At 48.9% G+C, this 18,245-nt stretch overlaps 10 annotated features.

Moving 5' to 3' along the window:
• Positions 1,509 to 1,558: an enhancer, noted in NCBI's record as "active region_26476". NCBI's record gives its function as "activates an Ori minimal core promoter by ATAC-STARR-seq in GM12878 lymphoblastoid cells {active_cell/tissue: GM12878}" and the evidence as "EXISTENCE:reporter gene assay evidence [ECO:0000049][PMID:35858748]".
• Positions 2,069 to 2,118: an enhancer, noted in NCBI's record as "active region_26477". NCBI's record gives its function as "activates an Ori minimal core promoter by ATAC-STARR-seq in GM12878 lymphoblastoid cells {active_cell/tissue: GM12878}" and the evidence as "EXISTENCE:reporter gene assay evidence [ECO:0000049][PMID:35858748]".
• Positions 2,964 to 3,515: an enhancer, noted in NCBI's record as "H3K4me1 hESC enhancer chr7:105698686-105699237 (GRCh37/hg19 assembly coordinates)". NCBI's record gives its function as "activates a minimal SCP1, AML or CMV promoter by ChIP-STARR-seq in naive H9 embryonic stem cells {active_cell/tissue: H9 hESC(naive)}" and the evidence as "EXISTENCE:reporter gene assay evidence [ECO:0000049][PMID:30033119]".
• Positions 3,199 to 3,358: an enhancer, noted in NCBI's record as "active region_26478". NCBI's record gives its function as "activates an Ori minimal core promoter by ATAC-STARR-seq in GM12878 lymphoblastoid cells {active_cell/tissue: GM12878}" and the evidence as "EXISTENCE:reporter gene assay evidence [ECO:0000049][PMID:35858748]".
• Positions 3,389 to 3,488: an enhancer, noted in NCBI's record as "active region_26479". NCBI's record gives its function as "activates an Ori minimal core promoter by ATAC-STARR-seq in GM12878 lymphoblastoid cells {active_cell/tissue: GM12878}" and the evidence as "EXISTENCE:reporter gene assay evidence [ECO:0000049][PMID:35858748]".
• Positions 3,829 to 3,948: a silencer, noted in NCBI's record as "silent region_18526". NCBI's record gives its function as "represses an Ori minimal core promoter by ATAC-STARR-seq in GM12878 lymphoblastoid cells {active_cell/tissue: GM12878}" and the evidence as "EXISTENCE:reporter gene assay evidence [ECO:0000049][PMID:35858748]".
• Positions 6,933 to 7,062: an enhancer, noted in NCBI's record as "active region_26480". NCBI's record gives its function as "activates an Ori minimal core promoter by ATAC-STARR-seq in GM12878 lymphoblastoid cells {active_cell/tissue: GM12878}" and the evidence as "EXISTENCE:reporter gene assay evidence [ECO:0000049][PMID:35858748]".
• Positions 7,093 to 7,262: an enhancer, noted in NCBI's record as "active region_26481". NCBI's record gives its function as "activates an Ori minimal core promoter by ATAC-STARR-seq in GM12878 lymphoblastoid cells {active_cell/tissue: GM12878}" and the evidence as "EXISTENCE:reporter gene assay evidence [ECO:0000049][PMID:35858748]".
• Positions 7,573 to 7,622: an enhancer, noted in NCBI's record as "active region_26482". NCBI's record gives its function as "activates an Ori minimal core promoter by ATAC-STARR-seq in GM12878 lymphoblastoid cells {active_cell/tissue: GM12878}" and the evidence as "EXISTENCE:reporter gene assay evidence [ECO:0000049][PMID:35858748]".
• Positions 16,807 to 17,101: an enhancer, noted in NCBI's record as "tiled region #14293; K562 Activating DNase unmatched - State 4:PromP". NCBI's record gives its function as "activates a minimal TATA promoter and a strong SV40 promoter by Sharpr-MPRA in K562 cells {active_cell/tissue: K562}" and the evidence as "EXISTENCE:reporter gene assay evidence [ECO:0000049][PMID:27701403]".

The raw sequence follows: 18,245 nt of genomic DNA on the forward strand, positions 1-18,245 counted from the left end.
ATGCAAATACTATGTAAATTAGGTCATTCCCAGATTAACTGGGGGAAAAAATCTGGTCGCCTTAGCAGGCACCATCTGTTCCCTCCTCATTCTTTCCATATCTGAACCCCACCCCCCCTTTCCCAATCAACTTTGAAACTTGTTTTCCTGTGGCTGAGAAGAGAGATCGTTCAAGGGAAGGAAACTAATCCCCCATCAGTTTTCCAGGTGGGTCGTTCCAATGTCTGTTTTGCGGTGAGAAGAGGCTCAGGTGAGAGGCTGGGAAGACTTCAGGGTTGGCTCCGGGTTAATGGTTGCCACACTCCACACATGTGCCGCCTCCTCCTTGTTCCTCTCTTTTCTCTTGGCCTCCGCTTCTCTTAGGATTCTTTTCCTCCTTCTCTTTGCCTGAAGTCTTCTAATGGCACCCAGAAGCCTTCTTCCTCCCTCTTGTGGCAGTCGGAGTAGAAGGGCTTTGGGGTTTTGCAATACCCCCAGAGTTCTTGGGAACTTTTGGGTCCATGTGGGTATTGGTTGGGAGGCTCAGGGCCCAAGCAGGAGGCTCTGTCCCACCCCATGGCTGCAGCTCACGCCTATGGAGCAGGGACAGCTTCAGTCCTGCTCTGTGAAGGCAAGAAAGCCAGGAGCCTCAGAAAAGCTATGGATGTGAGGGAAGCAGGGGGCCCCAGCTTCGTCATTCCGCATCGTTTTCTCCTTTAAGGGGACAAAAGTGAGAAGACTTCCCAGCGATTCATTCGCTCCTCCATCCTGCAAGGAAGCAGAGCCACAGTTGCCCCACCAGGAAGAAGCAACTTGAGGCCGGGTGCGGTGGCACACACCTGTAGGTCAGGAGTTTGAGACCAGCCTGGCCAACATAATGAAACCCTGTCTCTACTAAAAATACAAAAATTAGCTGGGCGTGGTGGCGGCCACCTGTAATCCCAACTACTCGGGAGGCTGAGGCAGGAGAATCACTTGAACCCAGGAGACGGAGGTTGCAGTGAGCTGAGATTGCACCACTGTACTCCAGCCTGGGTGACAGAGCAAGACTCCATCTCAAAAAAATAATAAATAAAAATAAAGAAGCAATTTGAGGGATACTTTTGTTGCTGTTAGCCACTGAGTTTTTTTTTTTTTTTTTTTTTTTAACAGTCTCATACTGTTGCCCAGGCTGGAGTGCAGTGGCATGATCTCAGCAACCTCCACCTCCCAGGTTCAAGTGATTCTCCTTGCCTCAGCCTCCCAAGTAGTTGGGATTACAGCTGCCTGCCACCACACCCGGCTAATTTATTTAGTATTTTTAGTAGAGATAGGGTTTCACTATGTTGGCCAGGCTGGTCTTGAACTTCTGACCTCAGGTGATCCATCCATCCCAGCCTCCCAAAGTGCTGGGATTACAGGCATGAGACACCACGCCCGGCCTAGCCACTGAGATTTTTGAGGCTATTTGTTATTGCAGCAAAACTTAATGAGAGCTTACTACTACACCCTCTCATCTTCCTCAATCTCTCCTCAAAGCTGCCTCAAAATTTAAAAAATTCTTTTATATACTCATGTGATACTTTCTCGCTTTAGGCCAAGTGAAAATAAAGGCATCTTCATAAACATTTGCTTTTTTTCTTGGTTCATGATATGACTGTACAAACTGCACTTGTGTATACGGCTTTAAACCCAGACTTCAGGCAGGGGGAACAGTCAGTGCAAAGGCCCCCAAGGCAGGGACGTCAGGAGTCCATGTGGCTTGGTCAGAGTAAGAAGGTGGGAGAGTGGTAGGGAGTGAGGCTCATGGAGTGAGAGGTGGGCAGTGTGGACCTGAGCATGGGCCCCAGAGAAGGTGCAGTTTCAGGACAGAAGCACAAGGTGGCACCGTGACACTCCCCTCAGTCACTGTGGACCGCATGTGCGGTGGTAGAGAAGACACATCTTCTTATCCTCCAAAATGGCTCTGCCAGGGAATGAAAGTCCAGCCGACTCCAGCAAATTAGAAACTGTACTCTTAGGACTGGAAAAGCTTTCGAGACCTCTCAATCAGGGAGGTTTCCATGTGGGGTCCATGATGCCTATGCATGGACTCCAGGACCCAGGGGATCCCCTGAATTGCAGTGTGCTTTTCAGGAGAAACCTCCAACATTTTCACTCCAAGGGGTCTATGACCCAAAAAAGGTGAAGAACCTCTGACTACCACTGGTGCTCCCACCAAGGCCAGACTTGACAAGAACTTCCTCAGCAACAGGCAGCCCCGGCCAATTCCACATTATTACCAGGTGCCTGGAGACCTGTGAGTCCTTTGCTATCTCAGTGGAGGCACCCAGTAATGCTTGGAACCGCTGGGCCTGAGGACACTCGGGCTCTCCTTCCAGAAACTAGAGCTTTTGTGAGGGGCCAGCAAATTTGCATACGTGCACCCGTGCACACACGCACACACCCCTCTCTCCACTGTCTTTAGATTGAAGAAATCACATCTTCTGCACATGAACGTCCTGTTGGTTCTCAAAGGTGCCTGGATGTTTCTGTGATAAGTAAAATATGATTGCACAATGTGGTTACTGAATTTGCAGTCACTTTGATCATTATATAGTTTCTCACCCACTGGATGTTTTATAGAAGTCTAATATAGAATTGATCTAATTGAAGTTTAATATATATTCGACTCTATGTGTCCAATATAATGAATGGGGCAGGGAGTCTGTCAGATATTTTGAGCTAAATGAGAAACTTCATAATCAAAATGGTGGGAGCCACAGTCTGGTGAAAGGGAGGGGTCGTGAGTGATGTCTGATGGCCAACAGGTGAGCTGGGACGGCGCAGGGGGCGCGGTGGGGGCAGGACAGGAAGCTGCGTGGGCAGCAGGTGGAGGGTGTGAGCAGAAGTGAGACTGGAGCCTGTGGGGTTGCTCAAGTGGAACTGCAGAAGGAGATCAAGAATGAGGGAAGATGCAAATTTTTAATTCAGCATCTTCTAAAAAAAAGTCCCAGAAATGACTGTATTTGCTATTGGTGTTTTAAAATATCCATTAAATACCACATTTGCCAGCATCACTTCTCTTATCCCGGCTGCTCTAGCAGCCTGAATTCTGCCTTTTTCTTCCCTGAGAGCTGGGCTCAGGGAACCCGCGTATCGACCTCAGGGGGTCAGGCCTGCAGGTGGGTGGCTCCCCTGGGACTCTTTAAAACCAAACCCCGAGCAGAAAGGAGAGGCTGAGGTTTGGGGCTCCTTTAAAGGCCTCCTCTCAGCTTGTCTCCAGTTCACTGCCTAAGAATGTCCTCCAGACACAGGCTCTGAGGCCAGAGCTATTGAATATTTATCAAGGCCTCCTGGCAGACGTGGGAGACTGAGAACAGGAAAATCAGGCCCAGGCGGGCATCTGTGGAGCCTGCCTGGGTGCTAGCCAGATGCTGCAAGATTCAAGTTGCCCGTTGACTCTGCAGAGCCTGCCCCGCCCTGTCCTCCCTCCTCGGGGAGGCGTGCATGGGCCTGGCTGCTGTCAGGGTGTTTGCTTCTTGTCACCATCCTCCATACTGACTTCCATTGCAAGCCCTGCCCCACTGTGGCTCCATTGTCTGCAGTGGCCTGGGCTGACCAGCTCAGCCTGGAGCCCTGCCCTGGGACGATGCGGGCTAACACAGTGACACAAAGCCCTGCTTTGTGGCCCTGACAGGAGGATTTATCATTAGCTGTGAGATGGTCCCTGGCAGATCCTGGCATGTGGTGAGCAGACAGATCTGTGCTGATCACAGTATTTTGAGTACCCCCAGTTGAATACAGCATCTGGGGCCCTCAAATCTGCCACATGGATCTTATGGCTTCAGGCTCACTGGCACCTTTTGTGTTGGCCGAAGTACGGGTAGGGGGTAGATTAGGAGCACTAGCTTGTACCCAGTGACGTCTGGGGGCTGGTTTACAGGAAAGGCACCCTAAGGTTGTGCAGGCCCTGACATGTGGTCCTCCTGGCATCTGGGGACAGCATGTCAGGTTTGGGGTCTGCCCATCCTTGCCTTGGGCACAGGTCCCCAAACAACAGCAGCATCCCTGTGGGTGGGATATCTGACCAGCAGAAAATGGAAGTGAATATCTCTTTGATCTTGGAGTGAGGAAGAATTTCTTAAAAATAACACACCAAAAAATCACAAATCATAAAAAAGAAAGATTCATGATTTCAACCACGTTAAATTTAAGAACCTTGGTTCATCACAGGTATTTTAAAGAAACTCAGAAGATAAGCCACAAGCTGGGAAAAGATATGTGTAGCACTTAAGTGACAAAGGATTAGCTTCAAGAATATATCGAGTCCTGAATGCCTGGTGGGGTGGAGGGAGTGGGAAATAGACAGATAGTTCAGAAGAAAAATGGGAAAAAAATATGAATAGGCATTTGACAGAAGAGGCAACACATAGGGCCAGTCAACATAGGGATGTGCTAACCTAGTCAGTGTCCAGGAAATTGCAAAACAGGCAGTGAGATCCATTTCCTCCAGTCTGTTTCCTCCAGTCTCTCTCCGGGGCCTGGAGATGCTCCTTGGATGGTTCTCAGTGGCCCTGGTCCTCTCCCTGGGAAGCCTGGCCTGTCAGGCTCTGCAGAGCCCTCTGTTTTGTCCTTCCCCCAATATCCTCCCACTCAGAGCCTGAGTCTGCCCCTGCCCCTTCCCTTCCTGTCCTCACCAATGGCGAGTGTGGCAGATCCTCCAGTTTCTAGAAACACCTCCTCACTCCATCTTCATCCTTTCCTTTGATGTTTCCCCAGGTCTTATCCGGCCAGGTGGGCTTTAGGGAACATTTTTCTTCCCCCTTTGAAGCCAGGGTCTCGCTCTGTTGCCCAGGCTGGAGTGCAGTGGCACAATCTCGGCTCACTGCAGCCTCCGCCTCCCAGGTTCCAGCAATTCTTCTGCCTCAGCCTCCCAAGTAGCTGGGATTACAGGCATGCGCCACCACGCCTGGGTAATTTTTGTATTTTTAGTAGAGACGGGGTTTTGCCATGTTGGCCAGGCTGGTCTTGGACTCCTGACCTCAGGTGATCCACCCACCTCGGCCTCCCAAAGTGCTAGGATTACAGGCATGAGCCACTGCACCCGGCCTAGAGAGCATATTTTCAATCAGAAAAGTAGTTCGCTGCACCTCACAAGCCCAACACTGAGTTCCAGGAGGACCTCAGGACAGGCTATTGATGGTACGGTAAACATGGCTGACAACTAGCACGTTCTAGACCAAGTTCAGGTAGAAAGGGACTCCCTCAGCTGGCCACAAAGCTACCCTCTCCCTAGTGTGCAGCCTTATCAGGCTATTGTCCAAGGCAAAAGCTGTGTGTAACAAGCAGCCCACGCAGCCTGCAGCCAGGTCTGCCAAGGCACCTTTCCTAAGGGGCTGCCCATGTGGCCCGCTCACGCAGGATCTTGCTGGCACTCTTCCTTGGGAGCTTACCTTGTTTGGAAACCTTTCCTGGTTAGCCTTTAAGAGCCTCAACAGGCAGCTGAAAGCATGTCCTGAAATGCCTGAACTCATACTTGGAATGAGAACTAGCTACAGCTTAGTATGCCATGAACGTTTGCATCACTTGTTGTCCAATAAATCTGCGGTCCCCAACCTTTCTGGCACCAGGGACCAGTTTCATGGAAGACAATTTTTCCATGAACAAGGAGGATGGGGTGGTTTTGGGATGAAACTGTTCCACCTCAGATCATCAGGCATTAGATTCTCATAAGGAGTGCACAACCTAGATCCCTCGCATGCACCGTTCGCAGTAGGGTTTGTGCTCCTATGAGAATCTAATGCTGCCATGATCTGACAGGAGGTGGAGCTCAGGCAGCAACGCGCACTCACCCACTGCTCACCTCCTGCTGTGTGTCCCAGTTCCTAACAGGCCCTGGGGGTGAGGGATCCCTGCAATACATAACACGTGCTAAGCAGTGGGGTTTGGGTGCTACTTCCCAACTGGCCGCTCTTAGGAACTGGTGAAACCTTAAGTCAGGTGTGACTGAGCGAGCCCCTGGGTCATGGCTATTCTCCTTGCTGCTCTGCTCTCCTAAGTCTGGTTTGAGGCTCCTCTCCCTCCCTGGCGTCCCACCCTGTATGTCTCCTAAGCCAGTCCAGCTTCCAAGGGTCGCTGTTGTTTCTCATGGCCTTCATGAAAACAGCGGGCAGGGCATGTCTCTGGCCTGTGATGGCTCCCCGCTATAGTCCTTGTCATCTGTATATCAAGGAGATTTTATTTCTTTCTTTCTCAGTTCCTCTTTCTTTCTCTCTTTTTTTTTTTTTTCCTGTTTTTCCTTCACTCAACAAATCAAGCTTCCATTAGGCACAAAGAGTCTTGTAGACACTTGAGGACATACCAGTGAACAAAATAGTCTTAAATCCTTGCCCTCATGGAGATTCTATTCCGAATGGGAGACAGGAAATAAGCAAAATAAAATGTGAAACCTATGACAGGGTGAAAGCGATATGCAGTCCTGAGAATAACTTTTATTTGCATGGCACCACAGCTGCAAAAAACAGTGCATTTCACTAACCCCTTATGGTATCAACCATGGATGGGGCAATCACTACAGGCCAAGCATTGCATTTACATCACTTCAGAACCCCTGTGGGAGGTGCTGTCCTATCCCAGTATACAGATGAGGACACTGGCACACAGGGAGACTCAATGACTTCCCATGATCATCCATCTGCTAAGAAGTGGAGTCTGGATTCGAACCTGAAGCCGTGGGACTCCAACGTCTTTGTTCTTTGTCACTGTACAATATGCCTCCCAGCTTCTGTCCTGGCTGCCTCCACAATCACTCAGCAGCCTCTGTACTGCATACACCACAGCGGGAGGTAGTGCGTGGCTGCTGAACATATGGGTGACGAAAGGGGTTTTCTGGTGGGACTGAAGTGCCACTGTCCCTCTTACGTGCAGAAGGCCCTGCCTGCCCTGCATGCCACCATCTAACCTAGTCCTGCCAGCAGCTGCCTGGTGGTGGCTTTGCAGCCCTGTTACAGCCCCTGCTGGGTGCATGATTCACAGGGGTGCAGTGTTGCCTTGCCCAGGCTCAGGCCCTGGCCTGCACCAGCCTGAGACAGAGCACTGGGTCAGAGGTGCCTTCTGTGGCTCCACTGCCCAGGGCATCAATGGAGCAGGGCCTACGGCGAGCCTCTGTGTGTGTCGAGACAGCTAGAACTGTTACTGGTGGAGGGTCTTGACTGCAAGTTGTCCAGGTTCTTGGTGTTCTGAACGAAGAATTGGACAAAATGCACAGCAAAGAAAGGAAAGAATGAAGCAACTAAAGCAGAGATTTATTGAAAATGAAAGTACACTCCACAGGGTGGGAGCAGGCCTGAGCAGCGGTTCAAGGGTGCTGGTTACAGGATCTTCAGGGGTCCAAATACCCCCTAGAGGTTTCCCATAGGCCACTTGGTGTACACTTCATGCAAATGAAGTAGTGGCCTGCAATCAGTCTGATTGGTTGCAGAAATCAACCAAATCGGACAGGTGGGGGTGTTTACAAAGGGAGTAGCCTCTGGTCCTTTTGTTACTTAGGTGTGGAAAGTTGGGGTTTCCCTTTTGATTTAGTTCTAATTAGTCAGTGTGAATCAGCCTTAGGTTCCCTGCCTCCAGACCCTATTCTCCTGCCTCAGAACTTGCCTGGGCAAGACTAAAGGTGGTCTCACAGTCCAGAGAAGCCACAGTAGGGGCCAAGGGAAAAACTTCTTTGCCCTCTGTATGTTCATGGAAAAATCATCTCACAAAATGCAGATTAATAAAAGAAAAGGCAGACAAATTTGTTAATGTGCACATGGGGGAGAACCACAGAGTGATTACCTCCACCCTCCACCCTCCACCCTCCTCCACCCTCCTGTCTAAATAAGCTCTTCTTCTAGGCAAACTGGTGGGGGGAATTGATTCACTATCCTCAGAAATTAGGAAGCATGAAATTATGCTGGCTCTGCTACTGGGGAACAAAGAGCAGGGGCGTGGTGTGCAGCGGCCAGTGCAGGAAGTATAAGTATATATACCATCCTGAGGTTACAGAAAGAATGGGGGCTTGGATCGGGGCAAAATAGGTTATGGGAGGAGAAGATGAGGAGGCCTGGTGAGCCAAGATGATCTTGTTACGTAGACGAAACCTCACAGGGAGCAGCCCCGAGAGAACTGATGGGAAATGTTACTTTCAGACCTTTAAAGGTGTCCCATTTTCAGTTAATTTTTCCTAGATTGGACAAAGGACGACCTCTGAGAAAACCTGAGAAAACCTGGCTGCATCAATGCAGATTCTCTGCAGATGCAAATCTCCCCCAGAAAGACAGCTTTGCAGGGCTCCTTCTGTTTGCAGGCCCTCTGAACAACCATCTCAAATTATGTCAAAGAAGTGTATTTGGGGATGAAACATGTGGATTTCTTTCACCCCCCACCCCCCTGCATCGCTTGTGTACTCTTTTCCCAAAGTGGAGTCTACAGCATGGAGTAGGGGGAGTTGATCTCCAGATATCCATGTCTCTTCCCTGCGCATAGTGACAGGAAACTGAACCCAGGAATCAAAACTCAATATATGAGGCCAGACAATGGTGCTTGTTCCTCCCTCTTGTTGTGAGAAGACATGAAGTGAACTCTGGGGTCATGAGTTACTGTGCTTCGAAAAATAAGCTGTGTGACTTTGGGCAATTGCCCAACCTCTCTGGGACTCAATGCCATTGTCTGTAAAATAGGGCTAAGAACTCCTTTCCTGCCTGCCTCCTAGATTTGTGGTGAGGATCACAGGAAATAATGTATGTGAGTGTGCCCTGTAAACCATAAAGTGCCCTAGTGACATGCACCCATGCACCTCCATCATTCCTGCAGTGACTGAAACTTGGAAATCTCACCAGAATGCATCACTGTGAGACTTGTTGAGAATTAAGTCAAGCAGGGGTTAAATTTGCCAATCACCAGAGCACACTATGTATATTTAAAATCCTCCACTCTTTTAGTAATTGGGGGCAAAAAAGAAAAAAAAAAACATCCACTCTGTCCCAGAATCATTATTCTGTAAAGTTAATGAGTTCCATGAAGGGTCTTTGTGGTGACTCATCCCATCACTTCTTCCACTCCTGCCACCAGGTGAGACCTGGGGAGAGCATCAGGGAGCAGGTGTCTTAAGGATCTGAGGTGCAGGGTGGGGGCTCCCGCAGCGCTGTGTTTAAACAGGGCCCTGCTGACGCCTCACCACGGCCGGCTGGGAAACAGCTGCAGCATAAGGCCTCTCCTCAGGCTAGTGTGGAGCCCAGCAGATGTGCCATTTGCCTCCACAGCAACAGACGTGACCCTAAAACCAGTGAGGTCCCCACCCTGAAAGGCTCCACTGGCTTCTGAGCCTGTGTCTAGAGGGAGTGGGCAAGGATTCCAGGTGCATGGAGAGGTGAACGCTATTACTGACTCCTCTGCTGGCCATATGCTTACTTCCTTTATCCTCCCATCAGCTCTGTGAAGCACCCACCACTTTAGTGCGGAGGAAGCCGAGCCTTAGAGAGGTCAAGGCCTTTATTTCAGCCTCCCAGCCAGCAGGCAGCAGGGCTCCAAATCGGAACCCAGATTTATTGGACCCCAAATCATAGGCTGTGACAGGGCTCGTTATTAACCAGGCCATAAATACTTCCTGAGTCCCTATCCCGTCCCTGGAACTGCTGGGGACATGAAAGGCACAGGAGGCAGGGGCCCGACCTCACGGGGTTGGAGCAGACCTAAAGTGGGATGAGAGCAGAGGAACCCTGCGGCTGGGGCTCTCCACTCTTCCATCACGCTCTGTCCAGCAGGGCAACTGGAGGGAGCCATGAGCATGCGATGACCTGGCGGCTGCTCAGGATGGGAGGGACCACTGTCAGCCAGGACTGGCAGGACTGTGTGAGTCATCCTAGTGGGTGAGGGAGTCTTCCTGGGCTCTGGGAGCTATGAGTCCATGATTCCTGGGCATGTGAGGAAGCTGGTTAGGAGCTCAGCCAAAACTTAAACTCTCAATCCAGCACTCTTTACACTCCCACCACATCTGAGCTGAGACTTGAAGGGGTGGGGCATGGGTGATTCTGGTCCCAGGGACTAGAGCCTGGGGGCTCCCACCTTTTCCTCTGGTTCTGCACTGACCTGCCCTCTGGTTCTGCCCTGACCTGCCCTTGCCAAGCCCACTGGGCCGGCGAACAGTTGTTTCCATTTTCCCTGCAGCCTCTGTTCTGGGAACCAGGCCAGCATTCATAGCCTTTCCCCTCCTTTTCTTTTTGTAATAGAAACTGCTCAGGGCTGCCAGGAGCCAGCAGTGTGCTCCGCGGCTCACCGTTTGGCTGGACTGGAGGTGAAGCTTCTTGGTGGCTCCTTCCCAGCCTTCTATGGAAGCTGGAATCCACTCTCCCGAGGCCATTTCTCCTCCCGGGGTTCCCTCTCTGCAGCCTCAACCCCCCAGTGCCCTTTGTCCCCTAAAGCGAGCAGTTTGTTTTCAGTCCAATACCTCCAGGGGATGGGGGGGGGCGCCTGGAGGAGTGTCCCAGGAGAGGGTCCCACCAGCCACGCTGCCCTGAACCCCCTTAAAATGGGGGTGGTGTGACAGTAACTTAGAGACCACTTAGATGACCTCAGGCATTCTGAGAAATCTAAAGGCTGATCTGAAGCCAGAGGAGGAAAGTTCATTCACCTTTGTCCCAGCCCCTCCCCGACTCCAGGACTCTAGCGTTGGCTGTTTTTATTTGCAGTCCAGCGTCCGGAATGAGCGGAGTTCCTTTTGGGAAGGATGTGCGGCAGGTGTGCTCACTCTGCCCGGGAGCGTCTCCCCGCCGAGGAGCGCCCATGCTGACTGCGAATTGTTCCACACTGCACGCAGAGCATTCCTTTAGCAGCCTCTTGTTTTCTTAAGTGACTCTCTACAACTGTTTCCTTGGAGGCGTTTGTCTAAATAAGCTCTTCTTCTAGGCAAACTGGTGGGGGGAATTGATTCACTATCCTCAGAAATTAGGAAGCATGAAATTATACTGGCTCTGCTACCGGGGAACAAAGAGCAGGGGCGTGGTGTGCAGCGGCCAGTGCAGGGCCCAGGACAGGGTGTGGGGGCTAATCACAGCCCGCGGGGTGGGTGGGAAGTGCCCCAGCCCCAAGCTGGGACTGTGCTTCTCGGCACCTTCCACACCTTATGTAGCTCCCCTTTGGTCTCCACGTTTCTGGAAGTCACAGCTGCACCCTGGGTCACCTTAAGCTTTTTCACAGTGGACCACATGTGATTCTGAGTTACATTACTTTAACCTCAAGAGCTTGACTATTTTCTATATCGTGAAGTTATAAAAGGATAGTGGAATCTCACAGTCATTTGAGAGACAATACTTTTTTTCGACCATATGAATGTTTTGTACCATGGAGACAGTGTGAGCCAGGCTAGGAGGTCTGGTCAGAGACACTTATTTTATTTTTAGTTTTAGTTTTTGTAGAAATGAGAGTCTCACTATGTTGCCTAGGCAAGTCTTGAACTTCTGGCCTCAAGCAATCCTCCTACCTCGGCCTCCCAAAGTTTTAAGATTACAGGTGTGAGCCACTGCACCTGGCCAGACACACTTAGTTTAAGGAGCAATGTGCTATAGGCAAGAAAGCCAAATATATCTCAGGTCAAATCTGGCTCTGCTGTGTGATTTGGGGCAAATTAATGAACCTCTCTGCACTTCTGTTTCCTCATCCATCAAAGGGGAATAATAAAACCTATCTCACTGTGCTGTAAAGATTAAATAATGAAATGGATGCAAACTACCTCACATAGTACCTGGCCCACAGCAAGTTCTTAACTAAAGAGAACTCTCTTTCTCTTCTAAAACCTAGGATGCCTGAGGAGTCTAGGATTAGGAATCTCTGAATATTTACTAGTAGCATTGCTGGGGTGGATCAGAAATATTTGGGAAAAAAGTTAGGAGGAAAATGGCACCTATGAGGATGTCATAGTCATCAGCAATGAAGGATTTGAGAAGTTCTTTAGCAGAAATCAGGAGATTACCTCTTTCATTCAAACCCTAGCGAAGGATGCTTTACACTATGACTATGATTACAGAGAAATGAGAATATTTTCCATTTGTGATATAGAAAAACCATTCCCTTAACTGGGGGCCACATGCTGTAGGGAGTTCAATACCATTCTCCAAGTACATGAGGCCCAACCTACATCCTGGTTCTGTCTCTTTCCCCAGCCCTGGTCCTTTGCAAGAGGTAAAAGTCTTTATAAGTGCATGAGAATAACTGCTCAAAATCACTTTTAGGTTTCCCCCAAATTCTCCTGATCTCTAATAAAAACAAATAATTGAGGGGATGTGACATTACCCTTGGTCACTAGTGATTTAGAGCTTCTGTCCATTGCTCCTTGGAGCTGCTCATCCTCAAAGGTACCCCAGGCAGAGGCCAGCAGCGAGTTCAAGGCCTTGTCAAGAAGGTTTTCCTTTAATAATACGCATCCACATACACAAAACACAGGCCTTCCTGGAATTGCCAAAAGACAGCAGCTGCAAAAAGGACTTGGACAAGAAAGTTTATTGCAGCTTTATTCCAAACAACCCAGATGCCCATCAACAGGAGAATGGTAAACAAATTATGGCATATTTATACGATGGAATATTACACAGTTATAAAAACAGCAAATTTTTGAAATGTGAACCTCACAGTCATGATGTTGAAAGAAACAAGACACAGATAAAAAAGTACATATTGTGTAATTCTATTTATAATGGAGTTCAAGAATCAGCAATGTTAATCCTAGATGACGGAAGTCAGATAGCAGTTACCTTTGGGTAAGCATGCTTACTTTGGACTTGGAAGGGGCACAGATAGCTTTCTGGGGCTGTGGAAATGTTGCGAATCTTGGTTTGGGTAGTTACATGGGTGTATGCGTAGATAAACATTCACAGTGATGTGCGCTCAAAATTGTGCATTTTATGGGACATAAATTAAAAACGTAAAAATATTGAAAAACAGAAATTGGAGAAGTGTTAAAGGGTCAGGTTGAATGAGGACTGTCTAACCTGGAGCTGGCATCAGAAACAACTACCAGAAATCCCTGTAACCTGCTTCTCCTTTGGGGTCTGTGAACCGCAGGACTAAGACACTCCCACATTCTGACCCTGGCACCAGCAACAGACTACTTGCCATCGGATTGATGTCGAGAAATGATCACAGGATAACAGCTCTTCTCACGGTTCAGCAGATAATAGTAAGTCAAACTTTTGCCCCAGTTGAACATCCTATCTCTAAGTATACCCCCCATTTCCTCTGAACCCCCCTAAACCATTTGCCAGTCACCCAAATCACCATCTGTGACCACTACTCCCCTGCATTCTACATCCAATCAATCACCAAGCCCTGTCAATTCTCCTTACTTGATAGCTTTAACACTCCTCCACTCCTCTCCAGCCCAGTGTCTTAAATCCACACTAACATCCTCCTTCTAGATGATGCGCCCACCTCCCACCTGCTCTCCCAGACTCCTGTGGTCTTGCCCTCCCTTCAATGAACTTGCCAGCTGCTGAAGGGATCATGGCCCTAAAATGCAAATCATAGAATACTTAAAAGAATTTCTAAACCTCCCAGGATTCACCCAGGCTCCTGGCATGGCTTACAGGCTGTAACCCATGATGCAAACCAGGCTTGCCTGTCCTGACAGCCTCATCTCTCTATGCGGGGCACTGTCCTAAGTGGTAGAATTAATTACAGCAGTGAATGAAACAAAGTTCCTTCGCCGATGGGATTTGCCATTTTGTAGGGAAGTACAGACAACAAACAAACAAATATATGAGATGATGTGGTATACATGTGAAAGACAGAAAAGCAAGATAGGAGACAGGGAGTGATGTGGGATTCTGTGTCAGCTGGGATGGTTAAGGAAGGCCATTCTAATGAGATCACATTTGGGCAGAAGCCTGAAGGAAGAGGCTGCTTGCCACCCCACACAGCAAGGGTGTGCCACAGTCATCTGCTCTCCTGGCAGTTCCGAGAGCAGGCTGGGCTCCCCTAGGCCTCTGGGCCTGTGCACGCACACTTCCTCTCCCTGCAGCATTCCATACCATCAAGAACTGAGATCTTATCTCATGTGCAGGTAATAATCACACATGCCAAAATTTCACGGATGTTGGTAGAAGACATGAGGCTCCTGGGTCAGAGAAGAAGGACAGTTTCTTCACTTCCAGTAATAGTAACAGCCAGAGTGGCAGCATTTTTGCACTGGTTTTCTGACCCCAGGTGACCCAACACCACCATTCAGTGAGATAGATGAAGTCTAAATAAGAGAGTAAACCATTGTGGAAGGCATTGAAACCATAAAAAGTAAGATGAGAACAGTTGAGAAAAAGACACTTAGAATTGACTGCAACATTTACAGAGTTTTGGTGTCAGCAGAGGCCTTAGTATTAGGTGATGGAAGCCCGCCACTGTAAGGTTCCCGCCCTTGAGAATCTGCTCAGGACCAGCTGGTGAGATGGACGTGTCAGCAGATAAATTGCAAGGCTGTGCTCTCAAGCTCTAGTGCACAAAGGACTATGGGAGCCCATAGAATGGGTAGGAGGAGGCCATTCAAGCTAAATCTTGACAGATGGGCAGGAATTCATCAGAAAGACTTAAATATTGGTCTTGAAAATAGCACTGCATACAAGAAAAAAACACATGCATTTATGAGGCAAGAGTCCCTGAAGTTTCACATTTACACAAAATGATGTGTGTCTTTTGGTGGGGGAAGCGGATGTGAAATTCCCTACAGATAAGCCCAGGCTAGCTGACCAGATGAGGTGAGATTTCTTTCAGGTACTGCCTAAGCAATCAATGGCCAGAGAGGGCTGCGGGGCTGGGCTGCTGGGCTGCGAGGCTGCTGGGTGCTGAGGGAGCAGGGGGAATGTTCCCTGGGGTGTGGCTGGCCATGGTGCTCGCCATCCTGGAACAAATCAACTGAGGCGCAAATCTGCAGCACCTTTGCCACAGCCAGAATCCACGGTGGTTCCTCCGTGAGCACATGCCCTGAATTCCACCTGGCCTGTGCGTCATGCTCAGTTGGCAGGATATCAGAACCAATGCTGCCAACACCAGACTCTCCACGTGCGGAGCAATTTATGAAACCCTGGGGCCAGCAATGGCCACCTTTGCATCCTGGAGTTAGGATGACCCTGACACATCCCAGCCCCAGCATACACCACCGCGCTGCCCTGAGGCTGGGCTCTACCTTTTGAGAGCTACTGAGCTCTGCAGAGATGTGGGTGAAGGGAGCCACAGACATATCAGTCTGGCAGGGGCTTAGAGTCACTGCTCTAACTGCCTATCTGGCAGGTGAAGAAACAGAGGCCAGGGCAGGCAAGCCCTGACCAGGGCAGTGTACCTGCTTGGTAGACGAGTTCTCTCCTTCCCCCAGTGCAGTGCCTACTGTCTCTCTTTAGCTGTGCCTAGCTGGGTTGGGGTCTTTTCTCTGGGCTTCCCTAACCACTCCTGCTGACCCCTATCTGAGCTCCAACTTCTCCCTGGAAACCACGCATTAACCTATTACCTCCTCGCTACACTGTGAGTTCCTGAGAGGGGCTTGCGTCTTTCTCATCTGGCAGTTGGCCAGAGCCCCATAAGTACACTCAAGTTGAATGAGCGATTAAATGGGTGACTGCAACAAGCCTGGGCAGGAATGGGTAGTGCTCTTTTTGGTCATGGCTTCTTAAACACAAACAAGGTGGGCTTCATTGGGCCTTATTTCAGAAAAAAATATTCGTCTTATTATAAAAAGTAATGTTTGGCCAGGCACAGTGGCTCAAACCTATAGTTTCAGCACTTTGGGCGGCCAAGGTGGGAAGATTGCTTGGGCCCAGGAGTTTGAGACCAGCCTGGGCAACATAGTGAGACCCTGTCTCTTAAAAAAAAAAAAAAGTTAGCTATGGTGTTGCATGCTTGTGGTCCCAGCTACTTGGGAGGCTAAAGCAGGAGGATCACTGGAGCCCAGGAGTTGGAGGCTGTAGTGAACCATGACTGTGCCACTGCACTCCAGCCTGGGCGACAGAGAAGACCCTGTCTCAAAAAACAAGTAAGTAAAGCAAAATAAAAAGTAATGTTTGACTTGAACTTACAAGTTAAAGAACTGATGAGTCGATTGTGCTGTTTTGATTCTGTGGCTCCTGTCATCCGTCTCACTCTACCTCCCAGCGACACAGTCCTGTCCTCCTAGATACATGTACCCTAGCTTGAGAAGTGGGACTGCGGGAAGCTGGGCCAACCAGGTGGCTTATTCACTGTCTGCTGGGGCAGGAGGCAGGGCAGGGGCAGGAGGGAGGCAACCCCAGCCTGTGCCCGGCTTCCCCGAGGCGTGTGCCTTGTGCGGCTGCTGAAGGAGTGACTCCTGAGGAAACCAGCTTTTCCAGGGAGGCAAGGGATGGGAGAAGAGGGTGGAGAAGGAAGTGGTCACACCACTTGCCTTCTGCCAATACTGTCCCTTTCTTACGCGTTAACCTTCCACTCTGAGCTATGACACTTTCAGTACTAGTGTGGTAAGTTCTACAGGAAACAGGAAACATGGTTTAACAGACATCCCTTTAAGCTTTAAGTGTAGCCCAGGCCCTGTTCTAGCTAGAATGAAGTTTTGCATAATGAATAGATACCAGATTCCCCTGAAGGGCTCTTGCCCCAGAGACTCTCAGTGGCCCACGTTCACAGGTACTTGCAGGCATGCATATATGCTTCTCACCTCTTAGGAAATGGCCTTTGCAGGCATGAAAAAACAAATACCTCAAGTTCCCTTCCTGAGCCTCTTAGGCAACATGAAAAAACTACATACCAATCCCGAGAATGGAAGCTGGTTTGGAGTTTCACCTCACAAAAAGCTGGCCCCACCATGCTCACCCAAATGGCAGATTTATGAAGGTTCTGTTTGACAAGAGCAAAGGATCCACTTTGAGCAGCTCTGGGCCTATGGAAGGCAAGGTGTTCATGTTTAAGCACAAAGGTAAACAGAGCATAGCAGCAGGTTACAGAGATCATTTATTTTCCCGCTGATGACAGACATGAGCTCTGGCCCAGGGCCCAAACTTCTTATCCTTGAAAAACACATTTTACAGATTGCCGGCAGAGACAGCCAACCCAGATTAAGCTGCCAGACCTAACTATTTTAGATCTTCCTCCTACTCCTCTGGAAAAAAAAAATATAAGATAACGATTTTTGTCCCTGAAAAACAATGAGAGGAACTAAAGGAAAGCCCGGGCTCTATTCTTAGGGGTCTGCTGCCCTCCAGAAAGCCCAGCGTACAACTTCAGGCAGGCCCATGACACGCCAAGTGTTTGCATTTTGGAAGAATCCTAATAGAATTCCTTCAAGTGGCAGATTCCTGAGGACATTTCAGGATTTATTTACAGATCGTTAACTTACTTGTCACAGAAACCGAAGGGCAGGGAAATTTTGAGCTGACATTTTGGAATGCCACCCTCAAAGGGTGATCAACCAGAAATAAAGATAAAGTGCCTTTGAAATGATAAATATGAAGTAATGGGGACAAGGATTTGTTTCATAGGCACCGTTTCAGAAAAACATCTCTAATGTAAAGTGAAGCCCAGAAGTATATTTTACCTGCTCTTCACTGACTATGTAATTAATGTTTCAGTGACTGACAATTCTCACTTATCACCATAAATTTTTTTCTAGAAATTGCCACATAAATTGGAGCATCATAAAACAGGTTTCTGCAAACTGGTTTGTATGTTTTTTATCATAATAATGAGGTTATAGCCGGGTGCATTGGCTCACGCCTGTAATCCCAGCACTTTGGGAAGCTGAGGTGGGTGGATCACCTGATGTTAGGAGTTTGAGACCAGCCTGGCTAACATGGTGAAACCCTGTCTCTACTGAAAATACAAAAATTAGCCAGGCGTGGTGGCTTGCGCCTGTAATCCCAGCTACTTAGGAGGCGGAGGCAGGAGAATTGCTTGAATCCAGGAGGCAGAGGTTGCAGTGAGCTAAGATCTTGCCATTGCACTCCAGCCTAGGCAACAAGACTGAAACTTCCTCTCAAAACAAACAAACAAACAAACAAACAAATAATGAAGTTATAAATTTGGACTTACATTCTGGGTTAGGGACTTGACATCAAGCACATCAGATATGATTTGATAATTTCTGTCAGGAATGCAATAATAAAATAGCTCTAAACTCCGTGGTCATTATAAATAGTAAACTCATGCTCCAAGCACTATAAAATGGGCATGGGCGCACTGTCTGCATCCCACTGGTTTCCTGTTACCCCACCTGCTGCCTCTTGCTTGACCATGGGCTGTTGATGGAAACTGAGGACTAAACTTATAAG

Source organism: Homo sapiens, chromosome 7 (assembly GCF_000001405.40).
Source record: "Homo sapiens chromosome 7, GRCh38.p14 Primary Assembly".
Classification (NCBI taxonomy): Eukaryota; Metazoa; Chordata; class Mammalia; order Primates; family Hominidae; genus Homo; species Homo sapiens.